General features: G+C 48.6%; 3 protein-coding genes across 11 annotated transcripts, besides 4 other annotated features; 1 reads left to right on the top strand and 2 right to left on the bottom strand.

The window, feature by feature from the left end:
* Positions 1–39: 39 nt before the first annotated feature.
* CDC42SE1 (CDC42 small effector 1) lies at positions 40–8677 on the top strand. Of its 3 annotated transcripts, none has more exons than XM_017001847.3 (6): positions 40–183; positions 2876–3006; positions 3669–3985; positions 4536–4646; positions 5341–5431; positions 6335–8677. In XM_017001847.3, the coding sequence occupies exons 3-5, from the start codon at positions 3932–3934 to the stop codon at positions 5413–5415; spliced, it is 240 nt and encodes a 79-aa protein (XP_016857336.1). In that variant the 5' UTR covers positions 40–183; positions 2876–3006; positions 3669–3931; the 3' UTR covers positions 5416–5431; positions 6335–8677. The 3 variants fall into 3 exon arrangements, with proteins under 3 accessions (XP_016857336.1, NP_001033796.1, NP_064624.1); NM_001038707.2 differs by having other exon boundaries at positions 2876–3011; NM_020239.4 differs by lacking the exon at positions 2876–3006.
* Positions 1583–1632: a silencer, noted in NCBI's record as "silent region_1310". NCBI's record gives its function as "represses an Ori minimal core promoter by ATAC-STARR-seq in GM12878 lymphoblastoid cells {active_cell/tissue: GM12878}" and the evidence as "EXISTENCE:reporter gene assay evidence [ECO:0000049][PMID:35858748]".
* Positions 1643–1702: a silencer, noted in NCBI's record as "silent region_1309". NCBI's record gives its function as "represses an Ori minimal core promoter by ATAC-STARR-seq in GM12878 lymphoblastoid cells {active_cell/tissue: GM12878}" and the evidence as "EXISTENCE:reporter gene assay evidence [ECO:0000049][PMID:35858748]".
* Positions 8242–11911, bottom strand: C1orf56 (chromosome 1 open reading frame 56). The gene is made up of 2 exons (NM_017860.5): positions 10810–11911; positions 8242–9224 (listed from the first exon to the last, which is right to left on the bottom strand). Exons 1-2 carry the CDS (start codon positions 11812–11814, stop codon positions 9204–9206), a joined length of 1026 nt encoding a protein of 341 aa, NP_060330.2. The 5' UTR covers positions 11815–11911; the 3' UTR covers positions 8242–9203.
* Positions 11014–11253: an enhancer, noted in NCBI's record as "active region_1705". NCBI's record gives its function as "activates an Ori minimal core promoter by ATAC-STARR-seq in GM12878 lymphoblastoid cells {active_cell/tissue: GM12878}" and the evidence as "EXISTENCE:reporter gene assay evidence [ECO:0000049][PMID:35858748]".
* Positions 11534–11583: an enhancer, noted in NCBI's record as "active region_1704". NCBI's record gives its function as "activates an Ori minimal core promoter by ATAC-STARR-seq in GM12878 lymphoblastoid cells {active_cell/tissue: GM12878}" and the evidence as "EXISTENCE:reporter gene assay evidence [ECO:0000049][PMID:35858748]".
* BNIPL (BCL2 interacting protein like) lies at positions 11942–23076 on the bottom strand. 7 transcript variants are annotated; one of them, XM_024453496.2, is made up of 11 exons: positions 22896–23076; positions 22328–22347; positions 22000–22095; positions 21094–21158; positions 20636–20866; positions 16524–16706; positions 16228–16330; positions 15935–16066; positions 13779–13865; positions 13497–13595; positions 11942–13011 (listed from the first exon to the last, which is right to left on the bottom strand). In XM_024453496.2, the coding sequence occupies exons 5-11, from the start codon at positions 20820–20822 to the stop codon at positions 12975–12977; spliced, it is 828 nt and encodes a 275-aa protein (XP_024309264.1). In that variant the 5' UTR covers positions 20823–20866; positions 21094–21158; positions 22000–22095; positions 22328–22347; positions 22896–23076; the 3' UTR covers positions 11942–12974. The 7 variants fall into 7 exon arrangements, 5 of the variants coding, with proteins under 5 accessions (XP_024309264.1, XP_047303269.1, NP_001153114.1 ...); XM_047447313.1 differs by having other exon boundaries at positions 13821–13865; NM_001159642.2 differs by having other exon boundaries at positions 22000–22347.

The following is a 23197-nucleotide window of genomic DNA, read 5'->3' as shown; positions in this document are numbered from 1 at the left end:
GACGGGTTTCGTAATCGCGTCGCCGCCGCTTCCGCCCTCAGCCGGCCCCACCTCTGCCGGCTCGTACTCGGCTCCCCCACCTCGCCGCAGAGCTAGCCCGGGAAGCCCACACTGGCGGCCACGGAGCAGAGTCCCTCACCCCCACCAGCTGTAGCTGAACGTCTGGATGGTGGAGAAGAGCAGGTGAGGCCGTGCAGTTGGTCCCCTGGCCCGCCTGCCGCGCCGGCCGGGCCAGGCGGAGACACACCGGATGCGGGGTGTGGGGGAGGCGGGTGTCCTGGGCTGCAGAGATGCTGGGGTGGTGGGAAAGGGGTGCGCGCCCGGGGTGGCCGTAGTCATCCACGCTCCTGGGGTGCGCAGGCTGAGGCCGCTGAAGAGTAGAAGGAAAAGAAGGAACTGGAATGTTGGGGGAGGTGGGAGGGAGAGGGTCCGAAAGATTCCCAGAGAGGTCCCAGTCCGGTTAAGGGTTGAGAACAGCAGAGAACTTCTAGGTAGAGTTGTGTAGTGGGGGGAGACAGATACGGAATCTGTGTGATTGAATATATTTGGGGAGGGGAGGCTTAGGGCCTAGCCCTCTTTCCTCTTAAGCCCCCAGAAGACCTTTCCTGGGGAAGGGAAGGTTGGTGTTGGGCCTGTCACTTGGCTGAAATATGGAGTCCACACCGCTTCTCCAGAGTCCCTCAGCAGCCCTCCATGTCTCGGGGTCTCCACACAGGGACCAGCTGCTGCCCCGGGCTTCTAGCCAGAATTGCCCATGCCATTCTCTCGATTCTTTCTTTCTCTCCAGCTGCTTCATGTGAGGGCTTGTCAGGCCGCGGGTTGGAGGCCTTAGGGCCAGAGGCGGTGGGACCGGGAGAACCGGTTTGGGGCCCGAACAGGACCAGAGAACTAGCCTGTACATCCTTCCTCCCTGGCACCTCTTTCCCATCCCTTCTGCTCACCTCCCAACAGCTCTGAGACCCTCAAGTCCTAGTATGATCTTGGTGGGGGCGGGGGGTGGCTTTCCCGGTTCCATATTTCACTCTTGCCATTTGGAACTCAGAGAGGTCGAGTTCTGAGCACCACTTGGCTCTCAGGACGTGGCCTTATGAGGTCTAATCCTCATCCCTCCTGTTGTTTTCTCAGCCCCTTCCCTATTCACTGTGGGGTTGGATTCGGGTGGCTCTTCCGCCTGGGCTGACCAGCTCAGGACTTCATTTTTCCTCAACCCACTCTCTTCTGGCTGCTTTAAAGAAGAGTGGCCGCCAGTGGCTCTTACTTCCTTTTCTGGCTTTGTTCCCATCCCCCACTGCCCTGCGCTACCATCACATTCACCCTGACCTGTCTTCTTCACACTCTGACCCCACCCTCAAGTTTCAGAGACCCTAATGTCCTAGGGAATGGAATTTCCTGGTCACTTCTCGTCATCATTGGTCATTTCATGCCAAGTCCCACACACACGCTTTCCCTCCACCCAGCTCTGGTCAGGTCCCTGGAAAAGAAACAGAAATGGCCTTGTTCTCTCCACTGCCCCTTTCCCTCTCTCCTTCTCCTCCCCCTCTCTTCTCTTCCCTCCCAGCACTATCCACCTCTGTCCCTCAGCTTTGAGCAGAGTGGGGGATGTTGAGGGAGAGTCCAGTCACAGTACAGCCTGCCTGCTGGTGTTGGGGGTTTCCTCTAATTCTTCATTTTTCCCCAACCCTTACCACCTGCCACCACCACCATCAGGACAAACCCTATGACTGACTCACTGACGTCCCACTGACCACAGCTCCCCTCTCTGGACAGCGTGTTTTAGCTTCCGCTCCTTCTGGTTACTCCTCCCTTCCAGTGGTGAGAAGAGAAGAGAAAGCCCAGCCTCCTGGGTTCTCCCCTCCCCTAGAAGCTACATTTGAGTGTTTGTGTGATCTCATCTCAAGGCTGTTAAAAAAAAAAAAAACCTCTGTGTGTGTGTGTGTGTGTGTGTGTGTGTGTGTGTGTGTGTGTTTTGTATTTGAGACAGGGTCTTGTCCTGTCACCCAGGCTGGAGTGCAGGGGTGCAAACATGGCTCACTGTAGCCGCAACTCTTGGGCTCAAGTGATCCTCCTGCCTCAGCCTCCCCAGTAGCTGGGATGACAGGCACATGCTACCACACCCTGCTATCTCGTTTTTTTGTGTGTGTTTTTTTTGAGGCGGAGTTTCGCTCTTGTTGCCCAGGCTGGAGTGCAGTGGCGATCTCGGCTCACTGCAATCTCCGGTTCAAGCGATTCTCCTGCCTCAGCCTCCCAAGTAGCTGGGATTACAGGCATCCGCCACCACGCCCAGCTAATCTTTTGTATTTTTAGCAGAGATGGGGTTTCACCATGTTGGCCAGGCTGGTCTGGAACTCCTGACCTCAGGTGATCCGCCCACCTTGGCCTCCCAAAGTGCTGGGATTACAGGCGTGAGCCACCACGCCCGGCCTATCTCTTGTTTTTAAATCAGTCTAGGGTGCCAAAGCATCAGGGTTCCCGGCCTGCAAGAAAGGGAGATTCCTGTTCATGTTAAAGTGTCATATTTATGAAACTGCCCTTTTTGGAATCTTTGAGGTTGTCTGTACTATAGGACTGGGGAAATGCAAGTGAGTCTAAGAAGAAACCCAGATGTGTCCTACCCTGGCTGGCAGTAGTGAGAAGGGAGGAAGTTCTTCCTTGGACACTAGTACTATTGGAAAGTTCCTTATGTCTGGTTCACTGATGAAGCTTGAGGATAGAATTGGTGAGGAGGGAGGGGAGAACAGGTCACAGCTGGAGGGGAGCCTGGGCCCTATAGGGTGTGAGGCAGAGCAGAGTGGCAGATAGGACATGTGGACGGTGGGGAAAATATTCCTCATGGGACAGAAGATACCTGGCACATGTACCCACAACCTGTACACAGATGATCTGTACTGGACACACGTGGAGATATGGCCATGCCACGCATGTGCAAACAGAGGTGTACACACAGGAGTGCAGTGATACAGGACACAGATAAACAGAATGTACACAGCCTTCAGGAAGGATCTCAAGGTCAGGTAATAAAGGAACTGCTGCTGACTGGCTTCTGGGAGGGATTGGATTTCACTGGAGGGAAATCAGGAGGAATAGGGCAGCAAACAGAGAGGGAAGAAATTCCTTATTGTAGAAAGTCTTTCCTGAGGGCCAACCTGCCAGTTAGTCTCCTAGGACCTCAGTGGTCCAGGGCTCTCCTGTTCTTAAAGAAACTCTAGGCGTTCAGGGCAAGGTAAGAAAAAAGGCAGGGACAGGGTGGAGACCTTGTTTGTGAGAACAAAAAACCACTATTTCCTCTTCAGAGTCACTTAAATGCCCCTCCCCTTCTGCCCTAAACTCAGAGAGAAGGGAGCTGGAGCTTGTATCACCCCAAACTTTGCTAATTTCTGCCACTATCCTTTGGTCCTCGCCCATCCTCTTAACTCTAAGTGCTTCTAGCCCCCTTCCTCTCCCTTGGTACCACCAGCCACTGCTCCTTAACCCCTTGGTGTCCTTTTGGTTCTGTTCCTTTTTTTTAGAGTCAAACTGAGGTTCATAGTGTTTGGGAATGAGTGTTGGTGTACAGGTCTAGGGCCTCTCAGGGAGGACTGGGAAGATATAGGCTCATCAGGAGGTTTCTCAAGGATTGGGGGAGGGGGAGATTTCTCACTGATCTTTCTTTTTACTTTCTTCTAATCCAGGGTTCCGAGTCTGAGGAAGACATAACCTTGTGCCTGCCTGCCCACCTCTCTCTCTGGTCCTGTTCATCTCTCAGGCTCTGAGACACTGACCTTCACTGCTCAGTTAAAGGTTCCAGGGATTCCACTTTGTCTGGACCCATCCAGCTGAGTGAACCCAGGGTGGTGGTGTATCTGGGGAGAGTGAGGAGTGGGTTGTCCAAACACCAGGGAAAGAGCCCTTTGGGGCCTCAGACAGCGGAGTGAAGCTGGAACCATCAGGGAACATGAGTGAATTTTGGCACAAACTGGGCTGCTGTGTGGTAGAGAAACCCCAGCCGGTGAGTCTCCCCACCCCCCATCCTAACCCAAAGAGCAGTCAGTTACTGTGTGCTGTGAGGTAGCCACACCATCTAGGATCTGCCATCTAAAAAAGCACACTTCTTGCCTCCCTCTGTGTCAGGAGCTTCTATGGTCAGGCAGCTGTATATGTGGAACAAAGGGGACTGGGTGATGGAAGAAGTGAATAGTCCTAGCTATTACCTCCTGTTCCTGTCCATTCTGAGCTGGGTGGGGTTTGTAGGTGGAGCTGCATACCTGTCAGTTTTCCCCATTATTTCATCATCAGTCAGAGGTGACTTTGACATGTCCTTTCTTTGTCCAGTGTTCACTCTGCAGGCCACTGCCCTCACTACTCTGGTTCATGTCTTCTGTGTGCTTTTGTTGTTCCAGCTTTGCCTTTCATGCCCTAGTGATTTCCCTGTTAAAATGCCACATCCCCTCTTCCCACCAGGCCCTTAGCTTTTCAGTGGTTTTGAAGACTCTTTTCCCTTCCTCCGTGCTGACTGGAGGAGGGGCCTTAAGACATGACTCCTTATCTTCTCCAAGCAGAAGAAGAAGAGAAGACGGATTGACCGGACCATGATTGGGGAACCAATGAATTTTGTTCACCTGACTCACATTGGCTCAGGGGAGATGGGGGCCGGAGATGGACTTGCCATGGTAACAAGGAAATGGGGAGAGGTTGATACAGGGGTGAGGTCTATAACCGTTCCCTCTTTTTGAAAGTTCAAGCTAGGGACATATGAAAATACTCAATGGGGAAGTAAAAACCTGGGATTCTAGTCCTGGTCACCAGTTGTGGAAACCCGAGACCTGGCATTTTAGGTGTCTGGGCCTAGGTTCTCTCATCTTTACAACTTAGCAGATTGTTCTTCACTGGGGTAGGGGGTATATATATCTTAATAGTTGGAGGGCTTTTTCCAAAAACTTATAACTCTCCCTTCTCCTAATTAAGAACTGCTATCTCAGTGCCACAGTAAATCATATATTTAGGAGTGTTGGGACAGGAAAAAAGCTGAGTACCTTCATCCTAAATAATGTCTAAGATGCACTTCTGTTCCCAAAATAAGGGAAATGGGTCTAGAGATAGTCTTTTCTCAGATCCTGAAACTCAGATATATAGGGGAGAATCCATTGTGAGGGAATATTATTAGTAAAAGACCCATTTTACCTCATCCTCATGAAGGCCAGTGTGAAAAGAGGCATTGAGACTCCCCTAGGAGGAATGGTGGTTAGCAGATGGCTGCTATTGTCAAGGAGATGGCGTCAGCCTCTTCCCTGGAAGGCACAAAGTAGAGTTCTTACTGTAGGATATGAAGACTTACGAAGGTGTCTCGCATCTGTTTTTTTACAGACAGGTGCAGTTCAGGAGCAGATGAGATCCAAGGGAAACCGAGATAGGCCATGGAGCAATTCTAGGGGCTTATAGCTCCAATAATGGAATGGTGAGTGATTAGAGAAACCCATCTAACACCTCAGCCCCCATAACAGCACAACCTGATACCCTGACTCAGAACCCTGATCTTATGCAAGAAAGGGAGGTGTGGCCGGGCATGGTGGCTTATGCCTGTAATCCCAGCACTTTAGGAGGCCGAGATGGGTGGATCACTTGAGGCCAGGAGTTCAAGACCAGCCTGGCCAACGAGGCAAAACCCTGTCTCTACCAAAAAATACAAAAATTAGCCGGGCACAGTGGCGTGCTCCTGTAGTCCCATCTACCTGGGAGGCTGAGGCATGAGAATCACTTGAACCTGGGAGGCGGAGGTTACAGTGAGCTGAGATCGCGCCACTGCACTCCAGCCTGTGTGATAGAGCAAGACTCTATCTCAAAATATAAAAAAAGAATGGGAGATAGGGAGGAATTAGAAGGGAAGATTCAAGAATGTAGGATCTAGGCCGGGCATGGTGGCTAACGCCTATAATCCCAGCACTTTGGGAGGCCGAGGTCAGCAGATGACTTGAGGTCAGGAGTTTGAGACCAGCCTGGCCAACATGGTGAACCCCTGTCTCTACTAAAAGTACAAAAATTAGCCAGGCATGATGGCACACGCCTGTAATCCCAGTTACTCAGGCGGCTGAGGCCGAAGAATCACTTGAACTCGGGAGGTGGAGGTTGCAGTGAGTCTAGATTGCGCCACTGCACTCCAGCCTGGGCAACAGAGTGAGATTCCATCTCAAAAAAAAAAAGAATGTAGGATATAGAAAGACTGAGAGGGTGTTGTGCAGACAGAAGTAAAGAACACACTGTGGAAATAGCTTAAAGTCTGCACTAGGTAGTGCCTTCTTCCTAAAGCCTTGGTTTTCTTTGAGGCTAATCTTCTTTAAGAAAAACTTTTTTTTTATTTCAGGTTCTGCCATCTTGAAACCCCCATTCTGTTTCCAGCCCAGAAGAAATGCTGCCCCTACCAGATCCCTCCTTGAACCAGTGATCTAAGGACCCCTCTTTTCCCTATCTGCCTAACAGTGCCTCACAAGGCTTGGGGGCTGGACTCCCTCTACTCCCTCTGGCCATAGCCCCTCCTGGAGATGGGGTCAAGGCAGCAGGACTGATCAAGTGACTACTGGTTAGCCAGAGGAGCTCAGCTGAAGCCCTGGAAACCCTCAGGTCTGAGATAGGAGTTCTCTAGGAACCTGGAATGAGTTCCTGTCTCCTGAATGATGGTCTGGGTGCCACCTGTTTTTAAACTCTTAAACCTGGAACTCCTTAAATGGGGTAGGTGGGTGAGATTATCAAAGCTGAAGCTGGCTTTGCTGAGAAGCTCCCTACCTCCCTGCCCTTCTCCTCCTTCCTGCTGGAATGAACTAAAGCAGATGTCAAGCAGGGGCTGGTGGGGGTGCCTACTCCCTTTTCCACTCTATCTTTAGATTTCAAACCTTAGGCTTACAGCCCCTCAATATCTCTCTGCTAACACCAGTGTCTCTTTCTAGTTAGGCCTCTAATCTTCTGTTTCTGTTTACCAGCTTCCCAGCAACTTTCCTTTTTTAAAATATTAAAAATTTAATTCAGGTTCTCTTAATTATCCTCATCCTGCTGTTGCCTCCGCCCTTAACTCTATCCCTATTAGGAACCTTGTTTCCCACCGAATAAGAGTTAAGGTAAGAGGTAGCTCTTCACCTGATGACATTCCATTTAAGTTTTGGGGCATCTTTCCTGCCCTCTGCCAACCTCCCTGCTGGCCCAGGTGAGAGGAGGAAGAGGGGTCTGGAAAGAAACCCAGAATGCGGCAGAACTAGGAGTAAGTCCATCTCAAGGTGGACTTCTGATCATTGAGGATGGTGAGATAAATAGGTTGAAAACAATCATCTGTGAGTTTAGGAGTCTTAAGATCCTCACAGCACGGGAGCAGGGAGAGGCTCTAGAACAAGGTTTCACAACCGAGATGCCTTTGACATTTTGGGCTGAAGTGTTCTTTGTAAGGAAAACCTGTTTCCTATTTTGTGCATTACAGGATATTTAGCAGCAACCCTGGCCCACTCTAGTTATGACAACCAAAAATGTCTCTATACATTGCCAGATTTCTCCTAGGGGGCAAAATCGCCTCCATTTGAGAACCACAACTCTAAAGTCAAGATATTTTTCTCTGAAGTGATTTCTGCTTGGCACGCTACCCTCATCATCTTACTCATCTTAAGCCCGAGCCATGGATCAACTAGGAGCCCATATAAATGAGGCTCAGTAGGGCTGCACATAATCTCCAAACAATTCTTTATTCAGTGTTTTGCTTGTGTTTGCATGTTGCTATGATGGACAGGTCCCCCTCCTCCATTCTTGCCCTCTGGAGAAGTGGTTCCTGCAGTGTAGAGATATGAACAGGGTATGGTAGGATTGGGGAAAGGGGAGAGAGAAGCAGTAGATACACTCCTTATCCTCCCCAAATTTTAAGCTCTATTTCTGTGCCCTAGTCCTAGACACACATTAGACTCAGGGAGTTTTGTCTGAAGACCAGGTCCCACTGCCCCCTGGCTGAAGAGTCTGCTTTAAATGGGAAAACAACGTAGGAGCAGGGGTTTTTAGGCACTTTCAGTATTCTCAGGTGTTCTTCGTTCTGGCCCTTCCAGGGTAATTAGGAAGGCAGAACAAGACAGATGAGCTCCTGCCTGCTCTGAGACAAGAAGGGTGGGGTCTCATTAGCTTTGCAACAGGAAACATCCTGTTTTATGGTAGTGGGGTCAGGAATGTAGGAACTGGTATCCATTCTGCCAATTCCACCACCCATTCAGTTTGCTTATCCCTACAGAACAGTGACTGAGGTTCTTTTTTTTTTTTTTTTTTTTTTTTTTTCAAATTTCCATGTATTTTCTGCCATTTTTCAGGGTCTAAGATTGGTCATACATTCCCAATTTACTCTCAGTTCCAGTCAAGCTGGTTGCTCTGAAAGTAACCCAGCTTGTTGCTCTAAAATACCTCAGTAGCCTGAGTGTTATACTAGAGATCTAAAGGGTTAACAGGATAGGGTGGAAAGGTTAGAGACTCCTAGAAATCTCTGGTCACCGTGATCTTCGGCCTCATTCTAATACCTGTTCTTTGGACAGTCTTTTTCCTTTGGTGCTCTCTTGCCTTTAGCTACCTTCTCTAATATGTATGCTACCATCACTAATAAAGTGATGGGAATGGGTTTGAGAGTCGTAATTTATATTAAAAAGTTGTTGGACTTTTAAATACATTTTTTCAAATAAAAAATTAAGCAAAATAGTTGCACAGTAATCATTGCAGGTGTGTGTTGGATTAAAGGATGGATATAGCTAATGAAGATAACTCCTCGAAAGTGGCTGAGATGGAATTTTGTACCAACATTGCCCTTTTGAGGAGAGAGGGCCAAGCATGAAGGCAAGAAGACCACTGTCATCTTTCAAGGGCTCAACTCCTTGTTCTTCCTACTCCCTTTTCTTAGCGTTTATTTGAGATTTTTCAAGCCTGTAAAAGAAGTACTTGTTTTAAAACAATGTTGGAAATGAGGAAAATGAGCAATATCAACATTTTATCCTGAGGGACAGGGAGTAGAAAACAAGCCAGAGGCTGCTAGTTACATAGTTCAGTCTTAGGGATGAAGGGATTTATGTCTCTCCTCCCTCAGGTACCTCTGTAAAGAAACACAAGACCAAACAATGTGTTTTCCAGTTTTGTTTTTCTGTACTAAAAATATCTAGTGGGTGCTAGGATTGAAAGGGCAAGAGAGGTTGAGATACTGACATCTCCTCATGTGGATGAAGTGGCCATTACCTCTGGTTTCTGTCTATCTGCGTAAGAAAAAAAAATAGAGAAAAAGGGAAATTACAACCACATCTATATTCTTTTCCCTTCCTTGCTTCATCTCCCCCTCCCACAAACCCATATTCCCTCAACCCTACTGCCCACCCCTTACTTATTTTTGTATGCAATAATGGTATTGGACACACAAGGAGAAAAACAGAAACAAGCAAAATGACCAAGTGTAAGCTTTATTACCTTTCCCTCCTCAAAGTCCTATCATCCGTATCAATTGAGACTACCTTATCAAGTCAATCAGAACCTTTGCTAATTCTGGGAAAAGCAGAGGACTATCCTTCCTTGTCCTGGAAGGACAGTACTCCCAAATGGTAGTGGTGAAGAGAGTGGGCACTGGTGTCAAACCTGGTTTAAATCTCGTGGCTCTGCCACTTACTAGCTTTGTAAACCTCAGTTTCTTCATCTGAAAAGCAGGGATAATAATACCTCATAGGATGTGAGGATCGATTCAGGTAAAGTGCACATAGTAAGACCTCAAATTTTGGCACTTGTTGCTGTTAAGCTGTATTAGGTCAAAACTATTAATTGATTAAGATCCTTCATATCTGTTAATTATCTGTGCATCAAAAAGACTTTATGGGCCGGGCACAGTGGCTCATGTCTGTAATCCCAGAATTCTGGAAGGCCAAGGTGGGCAGATCCTTGAGCTCAGGAGTTGGAGACCAGCCTGGGCAACATAGCGAGATCTTGTTAGCCAGGCATGGTGGTGCACGTCTGTAGTCCCAGCTATTCAGCAGGCTAAGGTGGGAGGATTGCTTGAGCCCAGAAGATGGAGGGTGCAGTGAGTTGTGACTGCGCCACCACACTCCAGCCTGAGTGATGAGAGACCCTGTCTCGAAAAAAAAGTCTTATGGTCAGGGGCACAGTAGCTCATGCCTGTAATCCCAGCACTTTGGAAGGCTGAGGCAGGAGAATTGCTTGAGCCCAGGAGTTTAAGACCAGCCTGGGCAACATAGCGAGATCTTGTCTGTGAAAAAAACAGAGAATTTCCAAGACCAGGCATGGTGGCTCATGCCTATAATCCCAGCACTTTGGGAGGCCGAGGCGGGTGGATCACTTGAGGTCAGGAGTTCTAGACCAGCCTGGCCAACATGGTAAAATGCTGTCTCTTCTAAAAAAAAAAAAAAAATTAGCCGGGCATGGTGGTGGGTGCCTGTAATCCCAGCTACTCAAGAGGCTGAGGCAGGAGAATTGTTTGAACCTGGGAGGCAGAGGTTGCAGTGAGCCAGGATCACGCCATTGCACTCCAGCCTCGGCAATAAGAGTGAAACTCTTGTCTTGAAAAAAAAAAATATTTCCAATCTTAACTATTTGGTCAATAATCACCTAATGAGCAGTAAGACATTTTACCTAATGACCAACCAGTAGTTGCTCAATAAATAATAGGTGGAATCAATGGCTAACAATGTGAATAACCAATGCATGTTATGAATCAATAACCAGGTAAGTCAGTAACAGTTCATGTAAGCAACACTGGCTGGCTTAGCAACTGGGTTTTAGATACCAGGACTTTTCAGATCCGTCAACAAAGACCCTGGCTCATCACCAAACACTTACTGGTTGCATCTCTGTGAACACTGAAGAGAGGCTATTCCAAATATCCTCCAGGCCAATCCTGACCCGTTTCCAAAAAGCCAGGGCTGGGCAGGGGCTGGCGGGTGGCAGGCTGGGACTGCTTCTGAGGTGGATGGTGGGGAAGGGGGTAGTGGTGGTCCTGGTACTGGTGGTGCTCTGAGAGGCACAGTTGGTGTCAGTACAGAGACTTGTGTCCAGGGGGCACTCTTCCCGAAGTCGGTTGCAGGGACATTGTTGATAGGTGCAAGGCTTGTGCTCCGTGCGGAGCTGGCTCAGCGCCCCAACTCGAAGGCGCCCGGAAAGGCCGTGCAGCTTCCCAGACCGGCTCCGGCTCATGGTGCCCGACTTGCAGTGGCAGTGCCACGGGCCCCAGGGCATCAGCACCAGCCGCAGATCCTCAGGAGATGGCATGGCTGTGGGTGAGGGTGACGGCCACCGGCTCGGGGTAGACCCAGGTGTGGACCACTGGCTCAGGGTGGCCTGCGAGCCTGGCAGGTCCTCAGTAGACCTCCCGGGGGAGCGCGGCAGGCTTGAAGTCAGCCTGATTTCAGGCTCCTGACTATTGGCTATAAACCTCGTGCTGGAACTCCCCGCTGTATTGGGAGTCGCACTGGGAAGCTCTCTGCTGGTGCTATCCTTTCCGGCATTAATCACAACCCCCTCTTCTGAAGACCCATCCTCCTCGTTAATGGCGGACGACCGGCTAAAGCCGGTGGACACCGTGGCGGCCAAGAGCTCGGCAGCCGCTGGTCCAGCCAGGCGGTCGGCGTCGGCCATGGCATCATTCTCGTCCTCTAGGATTATCCTTGTCTTCCGGGGAAGACCAGTCCGGGCGGTGCTCCGGTAGCTGCGGGTCATGGGGCCCCCAAAGCGTAAACTGACCCGCTGCATTTCGGTCGGAGTCTGGGTCAGGCCTTGGGCCCCCGCCGCCCGGGGACCCAGATTCAGCAGCAGGACCCACAGCAGCGCGCCGGCGGCGGGGACCATGGGGCTGGGCTCTTGGGGTTGGGAGGGTGGCCAGTGAGGCAAGCCCTGCCTCCTACCTTCGCTCCCTCCCTTCCGCTGTAGACCCACCGGGTCGTTTGAACCGAGGCCCGCGGGGAAGGGGGTGGGGTTCGACGCGCAGGCGCGCTCGCGCGGGCCGCGCGGGGTGCTCCTAAGGAACCTCTGCGGCAAGAACTCTGCCAGAACCGAAGGTTTGGGATGCAAGGGGTGGTGAAAGAGTCGTTCACTTCTTTGGAGCAGAGCTTAAATGTCTCATCGCAGTTTATTAGCCTCTACAGTTCTAAATTTACTAAAGAGGGCAAAAATACAGGTTTTGAAAGCACTCCTTCCCAGGCTCACAGGCAGCAGACATGACTTAGAAGGAAAAAGGGCATACAGCGGTTCTTCAAGATTTAATGAGCTGACTCTCCTGGCTCCCAGCAGGCAGGCTGGCTGTCAGGTAAGCCTCTTCCATCCAAGGTGGAAGGATCACAGTCCCTCCAGTTAGACAGGAGGAAAATTAGGACCCAAAAAGATGAAGTTATTTGCCCAAGGTTCTACAGCTAAAGTAGGATTAAAACCCAGAGCTCTGGCCGAGCGCGGTGGCTCACACCTGTAATCTCGGCACTTTGGGAGGCCGAGGCGGGCAGATCACGAGGTCAAGAGATCGAGACCATCCTGGCCAACATGGTGAAACCCCGTCTCTACTAAAAATACAAAACAATTAGCTGGGCGTGGTGGCGTGCGCCGGTAGTCTCAGCTACTCGCTGAGGCTGAGGCAGAAGAATGGCTTGAACCGGGAGGCGGAGGTTGCAGTGAGCCGAGATCGCACCACTGCACTCCAGCCTGGCGACAGAGCGAGACTCCGTCTCAAAAAACAAAAAACAAAAAAACCCAGAGCTCTGCATATCCCATACAAAATGACCCTACATTCAGCCTTCCGTCCCAGCAACTGGAATGAAAGTCACCCAGCAGATCAGTTTCCCAGCCTCAAAGCCCTGCTGAAAGTAGGGTCATGCAAAGGACAAAATCCCACTGAGAAGTGAAGATCCGGTGGTACTGAGGTTGGGGATAAGATGATTTACAAAACAGTTCAGATGTTTCAGGGATTCAGGTGTAGGCAGATCACTAACTGGTTCTAAGGCCTTTTATCCAGTCCTGTGCTATGTCCCTCCTGAGCCATGGAGATCCCGGTCCAGCCTAGGAGAGGGAGAGGGGGAGGAGAGAAGTGGTTCAGGGGGTAGGACTTGGGTTTTATTTTCTGGTTTGGGGAGAGAAGCCAGGTGAATTGGAAGAGCTAGATGATTGGGTTGAGTCATCATTTAGCACTTTTGCTCCCTAACACCCTCTCCCCCACTGGATATCATCTGTTCACTGCCAACACATCTCTTCCTAATTTCTAGGGCCAGTCTGAATCTCCTCTGCACTGTGATTATTCCTTTATTCCTTATTGCCTCTGCACTTATATGTATAGGTTTTTTTTTTTTTTCATTTATTCTTGTTGGATGCAGTAGTGTCCTTCATTTCTTCTCTGGGTGTGTGCAGTTTCCCCATATACATTAAAGCACCCGAAAACAGGGCCCTCTAGCTTTTCGTTCTTTTGTATGTCCCCCAAGGCATTAAAAAAGTAGAGATTGGCTTTACACATCCCACCCCAAGGCTTTATTCTTAAGTGTGAAACTCACTGTCTGACAGCTTCAGGGATGTGGACTTGATCCAGGGATATGAGTTGGGCCAGCTCCCCCAGGCTGTCCAGAAAACGGATTTTTCGTGTGAATTTGGAACTGAAAAGAGAGAATAAATCAACTGTGTTTTGTATTGGGAGAAGGGTTCCCAAAAATCCTTGCAAAGAAAAATGTAGAAGTAGAGTGGTTAAGGCTAGAAAGAATCAAGGTGGAGAAAGATCTTAATCTTGATTTTGAAAATGGGGGGAAGGAGAAAGGAGTCCTTGTTCCTAGAACTAGTACCTGATGAAGGGCCGAAGCAGTGCCAGAAATGCTTTCACATACCATGTAGCATGGACAACCACCAGGGCTCGCAGGTTTTTCCGTAGCCTGAAAAACAACATGAGATCATCCTATTTCTTCTTCCACCTTTATGTGTGAAGATCACGTGGAACTGTTTTCTGTACTGTAACTTCCTTCATTCACTTCTCTAGTTTCTAGATTTATCTGGTACTTGGGTCTAATCCCCATTCCGTCAGCTGTAATCTCAGCTCCACCCATCTTATTTAGCCCTCCATGATCCTCATTTTTAAAAAAACTCTCAAGATTTTTTTTTTTTTTTTTTTTTGAGACGGAGTCTCACTCTGTCGCCTGGGCTGGAGTGTAGTGGCACTATCTCAGCTCCCTGTAAGCTCTGCTTCCCGGGTTCATGCCATTCTCCTGCCTCAGCCTCCTGAGTAGCTGGGACTACAGGCGCCCGCCACCGTGCCCGGCTAATTTTTTGTATTTTTAGTAGAGACGGGGTTTCACCATGGTCTCGATCTCCTGACCTCGTGATCTGCCCGCCTCGGCCTCCCAAAGTGCTGGGATTACAGGTGTGAGCCATCGCGCCCGGATTTTTTTTTTTTTTTTTTTTTTTTGAGATGGAATCTCACTCTGTCGCCAGGCTGGAGTCAGTGGCTCGATCTCGGCTCACTGCAACCCTCCACCTCCCGGGTTCAAGTGATTCTCCTGCCTCAGCCTCCCGAGTAGCTGGGATTATAGGCACATGCCACCATGCCCAGCTAATTTTTGTATTTTTTTAGTAGAGATAATGACTTGTCACCATGTTGGCCAGGCTGGTCTTGAACTCCTGACCTTGTGATCCGCCCACCTCGGCCTTCCAAAGTGCTGGGATTACAGACGTGAGCCACCGCGCCCGACCACCTGGTCTTTTTCTGCTCCATTTCCATCTTGTGCTCTACCCTCGCGTAAGTTCCTTTTGCATGCTTCTACATCGCTCCATGACCAAGATTACTTATAAAACTCTAGGTGGAAGAAGACCAGCAAGGACGAAAAAAGGAAAGGGGGCAAGAAGAGAAATGTGAGCAAATGGAGATGGGGGAACCAAAAGGGGAAAAAAAAAAAACCTGAGAAGGAAAAGAAGACACAGGGCCAGGCACAGTGGCTCACACCTGTAATCCCAGCACTTTGGGAGGCCAAAGCAGGCAGATCACCTGAGCTCAGGAGTTCAAGACTGGCCTGAGAAACATGGCAAAACCCTGTCTCTAACAACAACAACAAAAATACAAAAATTAGCTAGGCATGGTGGTGGCGCATGCCTGTACTCCCAGCTACTTGGAAGGCTGAGGTGGGAGGATGGCTTGAGCCAGGGAGGGAGAGGCTGCAGCGAGCCAAGATCTTACCACTGCACTGCAGCCTGGTGACAGAGAAGACACATAGGTCAGTGATGAAGGCAGAGAAGAAGATAATGGAGGTGTGGAAAGGGAAATAAATGGCAAGACTGAGAGAAGAGTGCTTTCTGTGTGCCAGGCAATATGCCACACTAATTTACTCGATTTTCACAAATACCCAGTGGCAAAAGTATAACTATTGCCATTTTACAGATAAAGAAGCTGAAGTGGCCGGGTGCAGTGGCTCATGCCTATAATCTCAGCATTTTGGGAGGTGGAGGCAGGCAGATCACTTGAGCTCAGGAGTTTGAGACCAGCCTGGGCAAAATGGTGAAACTCCATCTCTACAAAAAATACAAAAGTTAGCTGGGCATGGTGGCCCATGCCTGTAGTCCCAGCTACTTGGGAGGCTGAGGTGGGAGGATCGCTTGAGCCTGGCAGGCAGAGGTGGCAGTGAGCCGAGATCGTGCCACTGCACTCCAGTCTGGATGACACAGCCAGATCCTGTCTCAAAAAAAACAAAAAAACAAAAAAACTGAAGCTGAAGCCCAGAGAGGTTAAGTGACTTGTCCAAAGCCATACAGCTAGTAAACAGTAATGTGGTAACAGCAGGATTTGAAGCTAGATTTCCTTGACTCCAAGAGAAGACAGAAGACAAAAGAGCTGGGAAAGGAACGTAAAAGGACAAAGAAAATAGGAAAAGGACTAAATGGAAGAAGAAATAATAGAAAGATGGGGAAAAAAAGATGAGATAGAGAGTTGTAGCCCTCTCATCCCAGGTCTCACCGCCGATCCAGGGTACGGTAACACTGACGTATCCAGCTTAGAGGTGGAACTTGGGCCCTGCTTGTGCCTCCACTCAAATGAACAAGCAGGTAATTTTCAGCTACTAGCAGCTCCAGAGTTCCCACCATATACCTGGGGGGATGAAATTGCAGGGAAGGTATGTGTTAGGGGCTTCAGAGAGTGAGAGGAACATTACTGTAGACTCTCCCATCAGCTACTGATCTTTGAAGGAGTTCTTTTTTACTTTTCCCTCCCTAACACTGCCCTGTAGCCCTTCAGGCCTTCCACCTCACCTAAACAAGTGTTCCATGACATAGGTGTAGTTGGGGATGCTGCTTCTGGGTAGATAACAGGAAGCAAAAAGGATGACAGCATTGAGGCCATCACCGTGGTAACCTGGAGAGTGTAAGGGGAAAATTCATTTGGTCAACAAATATGTATTGACAGATAGTATATCTGTTTAAGTTGAGGGACTCTGAGGGTCTCTGGAAGTTCCAGGATAGATTTTGGATCCAATGACTGAGTCTCCAGCTTAGGCATTTTATTAAGAAGCCATAGCTCTTAACACCTGCATTATGCTAGCCATTACCTCCATGAGACAGGACTTTCTTATAGGGCTCAATGACAGTCATGTCTACGCGCTGCTCCCGTGGTCCCATTCGGAACACCCTCCAGTGATGTCCATCTTCTCCAGTCACATCCCACATACAACCTCGGCCCAGCCTTTCAGCTGTCTCACTGGTGCCCAGACCCTCTGCCCGGGGTAGTTCATCTAAAAGAGAGGGATGGGGAAGGATCAACAAGGCAGATTTCCTACCTTCAGTTTTTTGTAACTTCCTCAGATTCCTAGTTTGTTACTCTAATCTGTCATTACTCAATTTTTTCCTTGATTCTTTTTTTTTTTCCTTTTTTTTGAGACAGAGTCTCACTCTGTCACCCAGGCTGGAGTGCAGTGGTGGGATCTCAGCTCACTGCAACCTCCACTTCCTGGGCTCAAGCGATTCTCTAGCTTCAGGCTCCCATGTAGCTGGAACTACAGGCATGCACCACCATGCCCAGCTAATTTTTGTATTTTTTGTAGAAACAGGGTTTTGCCGTGTTGCCTAGGCTGGTCTTGAACTCCTGAGTTCAAAGCAATCAGTCCACCTTGGCCTCCCAAAATGCTGGGATTAGAGGCATGAGCTACCACACCTAGCCTCTAACCCAGGCTTCTGTTTTGACTCTAGCCGTATCCCTAAATGCCTAGAGTGTACATCTTCACTTCGTGTCTGCTTGTCATCAACAAATCACCAGATTCAAAAGGGAACTCAAGGTTGTGCTCAATGGCTCGTGCCTGTAATCCCAGCACTTTGGGAGGCCAAGGCAGGAAGATTGCTTGAAGCCAGGAGTTTGAGACCAGCCTGGGCAACAAAGTGAGACCTCATCTTTACAAAAAATTTAAAAAATAATAAAATTACAAATTACAAAACAATAACAACAACAACAAAAAAATGGAACTCAAAATCATTCTTTTCTGCTTTGGGAGGCCAAGGTGGGAAGATCACTCATGCCCAGGAGTTCAAGGCTGCAGTGAACTATGATCATACCACTGCACTCTAGCCTGGGTGACAGAGTGAGACTTTGTCTCTAAAAAAATAATAATAATACAGCCTGGGCAACAAGAGTGAGACTCTGTCTCAAAAATAATAATAATAATAATAAATAAATTATTCTTCTTATTCTCCCTCATATTTCCTATTTCCTTTTTTTTTCTGAGATGGAGTCTTGCTCTGTTGCCCAGGCTGGAGTGCAGTGGTGCGATCTTGGCTCACTGCAACCTCCGCCTCCCAGGTTCAAGTGATTCTCCTGCCTCAGCCTCCCGAGTAGCTGGTACTACAGGTGCACGCCCCCATGTGTGGCGAATTTTTTGTATTTTTAGTAGAGACGAGGTTTTGCCATGTTGGCCAGGCTTGTCTCAAACTCCTGACCTCAGGTGATCTACCTGCCTTGGCATCCCAAAGTGCTAGGATTACAGGCATGAGCCACCGTGCCCAGCCATATTTCCTGTATTGATGAATGACTGAATCCATGTAGCTGCCTGAATGAGAAAATTATATTATTATTATTGTTGTTGTTGTTGTTTTCTTTTAGAGACAGGGACTCACTCTGCTATCCAAGCTGGAGTACAGTGGCTCGACCTTTGCTCACTGCAGCTTTGACCTCCTGGGCTCAAGTGATACTCCCACCCCAGCTTCCCAAGTAGCTAGGGCTATGGGTACACATCAGCATGCCTGGCTAGTGAGAAAACTGCATGTCATGTGAAACTCTTTCTTCTCTATCAGCCCTGAAATGAACTGGACTCCAGATTGTGATCCATCTATCTCTATGATATTCTTTCATCATCCTTTCCACTACTGCTATCCTGGTTTGGGTTCTTAGTATTTCTCACCTGGCCTTGGTACTAGCCTCCTTACTGCTTTCCCTGCCTCTAGTCTGTTTTTTTCCAATAGACCCTCTATACCACTGCTAGAGCAAGCTTTCCTTTCTTCTCTACCTTTTTTTTTGAGACAGGGTCTCACTCTGTCTTCCAGGCTGGAGTGGAGTGGCATGATCTTGGCTCACTACAACCTCTACTTCCCAGGCTCAGGTGATCCTCCCACCTCAGCCTCCCAAGTAGCTGGGACTACAGGTCTGTGCCACAAAGCCCAGCCAATTTAAAAAAAATTTTTTTTGTAGAAATAGGGTTTCACTTTGTTGCCCAGGCTGGTCCCAACTCCTGGGCTCAGATGATCTGCCCTCCTCAGCCTCCCAAAGTGTTGGGATTACAGGAATGAGCCACTGCACCCAGCCTCTTTAGCTTTTTATTCAAATGATAATATATTATACCCACCATTCTGCATGATCTTTCCATAGCAATAGAAAGAGCTGCTTCTTCTTTTTTTTTTTTTTTTTTGAGATGGAGTTTTGCTCTTGTCGCCCAGGCTGGAGTGCAGTGACGCAATCTCGGCTCACCGCAACCTCCACCTCACCGGTTCAAGCGATTCTCCTGCCTCAGCCTCCCAAGTAGCTGGGATTACAGGTGTGTGCCACCATACCCAGCTAATTTTGTATTTTTAGTAGAGATGGGCTTTCTCCATGTTGCTCAGGCTGGTCTTGAACTCCTGACCTCAGGTGATCCACCTGCCTCAGCCTCCCAAAGTGCTGGGATTACAGGCGTGAGCCACCGCTCCCAGCCTAAGAACTGCTTCATTTTAAAAAATAGTTGCATAGCCGAGTACAGTGGCTCATGCCTGTAATCCCAACACTTTGGGAGACTGAGGCAGGAGGATTGCTTGAGGCCAGGAGTTCAAGACCAGCCTGGGCAACATAGCAAGACCCTGTCTCTACAAAAATATATAAAAATTAGCCAGGTTTGGTGGCGTGGGCCTATAGTCCCAGATACTTGGGAGGCTGAGGCAGGAGGATTGCTTGAGCCTAGGAGGTTGAGGCTGCAGTGAGCAAGATTGTGCCATTGCACTCCAGACTGGGCAACAGAGCAAGACTGTCTCAAAAACAAAATGTTGCCTAGTATTTAGTATTCCACTGGATGGATGCACCATAACAAACGTAATACCTTACTGCTGGATCTTTAGGTTGTTTCCAATCTTTTCAGAGTCATTAAATTTGATCATGTTACTCCTTTGATTAAAACCTTACTGGGCCAGGCATGGTGGCTCACACCTGTAATCCCAGCACACTGGGAGGCCAAGGCAGGTGGATCACTTGAGGCCAGGAGCTCAAGATCAGCCTGGCCAACATGGCGAAACCCCATCTCTACTAAAAATATAAAAATTAGCCACACGTGATAGCACACATCTGTAATCTCAGCTACTCAGGAGGCTGAGGAACAAGAATCACTTGAACCCAGGAAGCAGACGTTGCAGTAAGCCTATATCACACCACTCTACTCTAGCCTGGGCAACAGGGCAAGACTCTGTATCAAAAACAAAAAACAAAAAAACTTATCATGACTCCCTATTGTCTATAAGATAAAACCTAAACTCCTTATCATGGCAGCAAGGGCCTCCATGATGTGACCTTTTTCTACTTAACCCAGCAGCACTATCTTTTGTCATTCTCTCTTCACCTCCCGGCCCTTCATATTAAAATAGTCATGCTCATACTTTGAATTCCCCAACATGCCATGCTATTGCTTGAGTTGCTTCTGCTTCTTCTCCTTAGAATGCCCTCTCTCCAACTACCTGATAAATGTCAGCTTCAGTTTTCAACACTTAGCTCAGAATCATCTCCTTCATGAAGCCTTTCCTAACATCTCTCAGGCAGAACTGACCTTTTCCTTCTCCCTGTCTACACTGTACCCTACACATATATAGATCATAACCTTTAACTGCAATTATTTTTATATATGTTTATTTCCTACTAAGCAGAGAATTCCCTGTAGGCCCTCTCTTATTCATCTTTATAACCCCAGTCCTATACATGATAGTATGTAACAGGCATTCAATTAAATTTTCCTTAATAAACAATGGGCTCCCCTCCCCCTCTACTGACTACTCTCACATTGGACCTATAAGCCCAAGTTCCATTTGAGGAAACTAATTTTGCTGGCCGTAGCCCTTGGTCCCACCTTATTAGTTCTAACTGCAGTCCCATTAAGTCCATCCTGATCCTTTAGCTCTAGCCTCTACTTCTACCAGCTGAGTCCTCTGGTTTGTTTCCCACCTTCCCATTCAAATTCATGTCCACTGTCCAGCTGCTCCGAGTCTGAAGGTGTCTCCAATTCGTCTATCTCCAGGTCAGAACTGCCATCAGGAGAGGAAGGTGCAGACTGGGTGGGTGAAGCTCCATCATTTCCAGGCCCCTTAGTCAGACTCAGCCGCAACTCTGGGGCAGAAAGACGCTTGCGCATGGGGCGCTGGCCACACAGGGCTAAAGTGCTGGGGGTACCTGCAGCTGGAGAAAGGGGGAAAAAGAGAACCAAGATGGGTGTGTGTGTTGGAGAGCCGAGAGGGCTAGAATTCCTGTATGTGAAAGTGATAATATGGGGTGAATGCTGAAGAAGGACTCACGCAGGGGAGATTTGGGAAAAGGGGGAAATGGAACTGTAAAAGGATAGAGGTGGCATAGCCCTTTACTGGACTAGAATCAAGAACTTGAGGCCTGGTTTCTACTTGACCTACCTGCCTGTGAATCTCCTTTAGGGTCTTCAGGATCTTCAGAAGTGCCAGCCTCCTCAGGAAGCAATCTAGAGGGGAAGAGATTAAAAGGCGGCAGACATATACACCAAAGGCATCAAGCCAGGACTCAATATATAGGTTCTCTCTCCCCACCATGATTTTATCACCTATGCTGCTTTTTTTTTTAATTGTTTTTTTGAGACAGGGTCTCACTCTGTTGCCCAGGCTGGAATGCAGTGGCACAATCACAGCTCACTGCAGCCTCTACCTCCAGGGTTCAAGCGGTCCTCCCACCTCAGCCTCCCGAGTAGCTGGGCCTACAGGTGTGCACCACCACACTTGGCTAAATTTTGTATTTTTGTAGAGATGGGGTTATGCCATGTTGCCCAGAGTAGTCTTGAACTTCTGAGCTCAAGTGATCCACCTGCCTCGGCCTCCCAAAGTGCTGGGATTACAGGCATCAGCCACCACGCCCGGCCTCTGTTTTCTTTTTCCCATTTTTTTCCTTCAAGTCCTAATTCACCATCCCTGTGTCCATTTGCTTTTTTTTTTTTTTTTTTTTTTTTTTTTTGAGACAGAGTTTCACTCTTGTTGCCCAAGCTCGGGTGTAATGGCACAATCTCAGCTCACTACAACCTCTGCCTCCCAGGTTCAAGTGATTCTCCTGCCTCAGCCTCCCGAGTAGCTGGGATTACAGGCATGTGCCACCACACCTGGCTAATTTTGTATTTTTAGTAGAGACGGGATTTCACCGTGTTGGTCAGGCTGGTCTCAAACTCCTGACCTCAGGTGATCCACCCGCCTCGGCCACCCAAAGTGCTGGGATTACAGCCATGAGCCGCCGCGCCATCCCCTCCGTCCATTCGTGACCACCCCTCCCTTCTCCCAGCCACCCTCACACGTCCTCACCTAGGGAATTCTTCATCCTGCCATTCCTCCTTCAGCTCCAACTCCCCATGTCTCAGGGCTGCTCCTAGTTCTGGTGCTTCTGCAATCTCCCTGACCCTAAGACAGCCCCCAAGAAGAAAAGATCAAGGGAACTGAATAGTAGGTAAGAATAATTGAAATGAAGAACAGTAATTGAGATACAGAGCAGAGGATAGGCCTTCAAAAGGACTCAGATCTCTTGCCTCCTATACAGATGCTTCTCTTACCTTCACCACTTGCTAGAAGCAGATTACCTGCTGTTAAGTTTGGGAGCAGACGAAAGATGGAATGTAAAGTTAATCATATTTACCTCTGTAGCAGTTGCTCCACCTACAAAGTTGGGGTGAGAGATGTCCCACATTACAAGTGGCTGGAACCCAGCTAGACCCACCCAGCTATCATTGAGCAAAGTCGGGAAGACGGTACCTAGTTAGGCCTGCCTTTCCTCCACCGAGCTGGGGAGTGGCTAAGGGAAAACATGGCATAAGTGGAGGGGTGGAGGAAGAAGGTAAGGAGAAAGATTTGCCAGAACGAGAACCTGGACCTAAACTCGGTTCTGGTTCAGCTTTCCTGATGGCCATTCTGGAGGGTGAGGGTTAGAAAATAAAAGAACACAGGCAGATTTATCAGGTACAACATATTACAGAAACTTCCTTTATTTTTAAACCAGGGAATTATCCTGGAATCCTGTTCCCCAGTTCCATACCATACTGACATTTCCTACCTAAAACCACCCTCATCTCTTCTCTGCAAACTCTCTTACAGTCTTGTCTCCTTGAGGAACCCGAGATTTGACCCAGTAAGAGCTGGGTGGTGGGGAAGTCTCTCCGGACTGTTTATTCACTGTTACCAATCAAGTGAGCCAAGATCTTACTTACCCAACATCTGTCTTTTTTCCTGCCTCTTGTATAGTTCCCATCTTCACAAGTCTTCCTGCCTCCTTCTTTAAACACCTAGGAGTTGTTGGGGAGCTGGTTGTCCCAGCCCCCAACACTTCCTTACCTCTTTTCTGTCTCAGCTGTTGTAGCTCTTGCCTCCAAGGAGGGAGGTGTGGAAGGGAGGTAACCTCATCTTCAAAACAGGTTTTGCCACTCCTCTCCCCAGGAGCAGGTTTGCCCAAAAGAAAAACCCTGCCTCCTGTGAGGGGGCGGGTTTTGGGGAGGAGAGTGCATTTTCTAGT

Source organism: Homo sapiens, chromosome 1 (assembly GCF_000001405.40).
Source record: "Homo sapiens chromosome 1, GRCh38.p14 Primary Assembly".
NCBI classification, from domain to species: Eukaryota; Metazoa; Chordata; class Mammalia; order Primates; family Hominidae; genus Homo; species Homo sapiens.
Note: the sequence above shows the minus strand (reverse complement) of the source record. Positions and strands in the feature narration are given on the sequence as shown.

What these genes read in the sequence shown, in the direction of transcription:
- CDC42SE1 (NM_020239.4), top strand. Translation starts at nt 3,932, where the DNA reads ATGAGTGAATTTTGGCACAAACTGGGCTGCTGTGTGGTAGAGAAACCC. An exon ending in TGGTAGAGAAACCCCAGCCG is followed by an intron (nt 3,986 to 4,535) that starts GTGAGTCTCCCC and finishes TTCTCCAAGCAG; the next exon opens with AAGAAGAAGAGAAGACGGAT. An exon ending in CCGGAGATGGACTTGCCATG is followed by an intron (nt 4,647 to 5,340) that starts GTAACAAGGAAA and finishes GTTTTTTTACAG; the next exon opens with ACAGGTGCAGTTCAGGAGCA.
- C1orf56 (NM_017860.5), bottom strand. Translation starts at nt 11,814, where the DNA reads ATGGTCCCCGCCGCCGGCGCGCTGCTGTGGGTCCTGCTGCTGAATCTG. An exon ending in TGTTCACAGAGATGCAACCA is followed by an intron (nt 9,225 to 10,809) that starts GTAAGTGTTTGG and finishes TTTCTTACGCAG; the next exon opens with ATAGACAGAAACCAGAGGTA.
- BNIPL (NM_138278.4), bottom strand. Translation starts at nt 22,936, where the DNA reads ATGGGAACTATACAAGAGGCAGGAAAAAAGACAGATGTTGG. An exon ending in ACATGAATTTGAATGGGAAG is followed by an intron (nt 16,707 to 20,635) that starts GTGGGAAACAAA and finishes CCTCTCTTTTAG; the next exon opens with ATGAACTACCCCGGGCAGAG. An exon ending in GTCATGGAACACTTGTTTAG is followed by an intron (nt 16,067 to 16,227) that starts GTGAGGTGGAAG and finishes TCATCCCCCCAG; the next exon opens with GTATATGGTGGGAACTCTGG.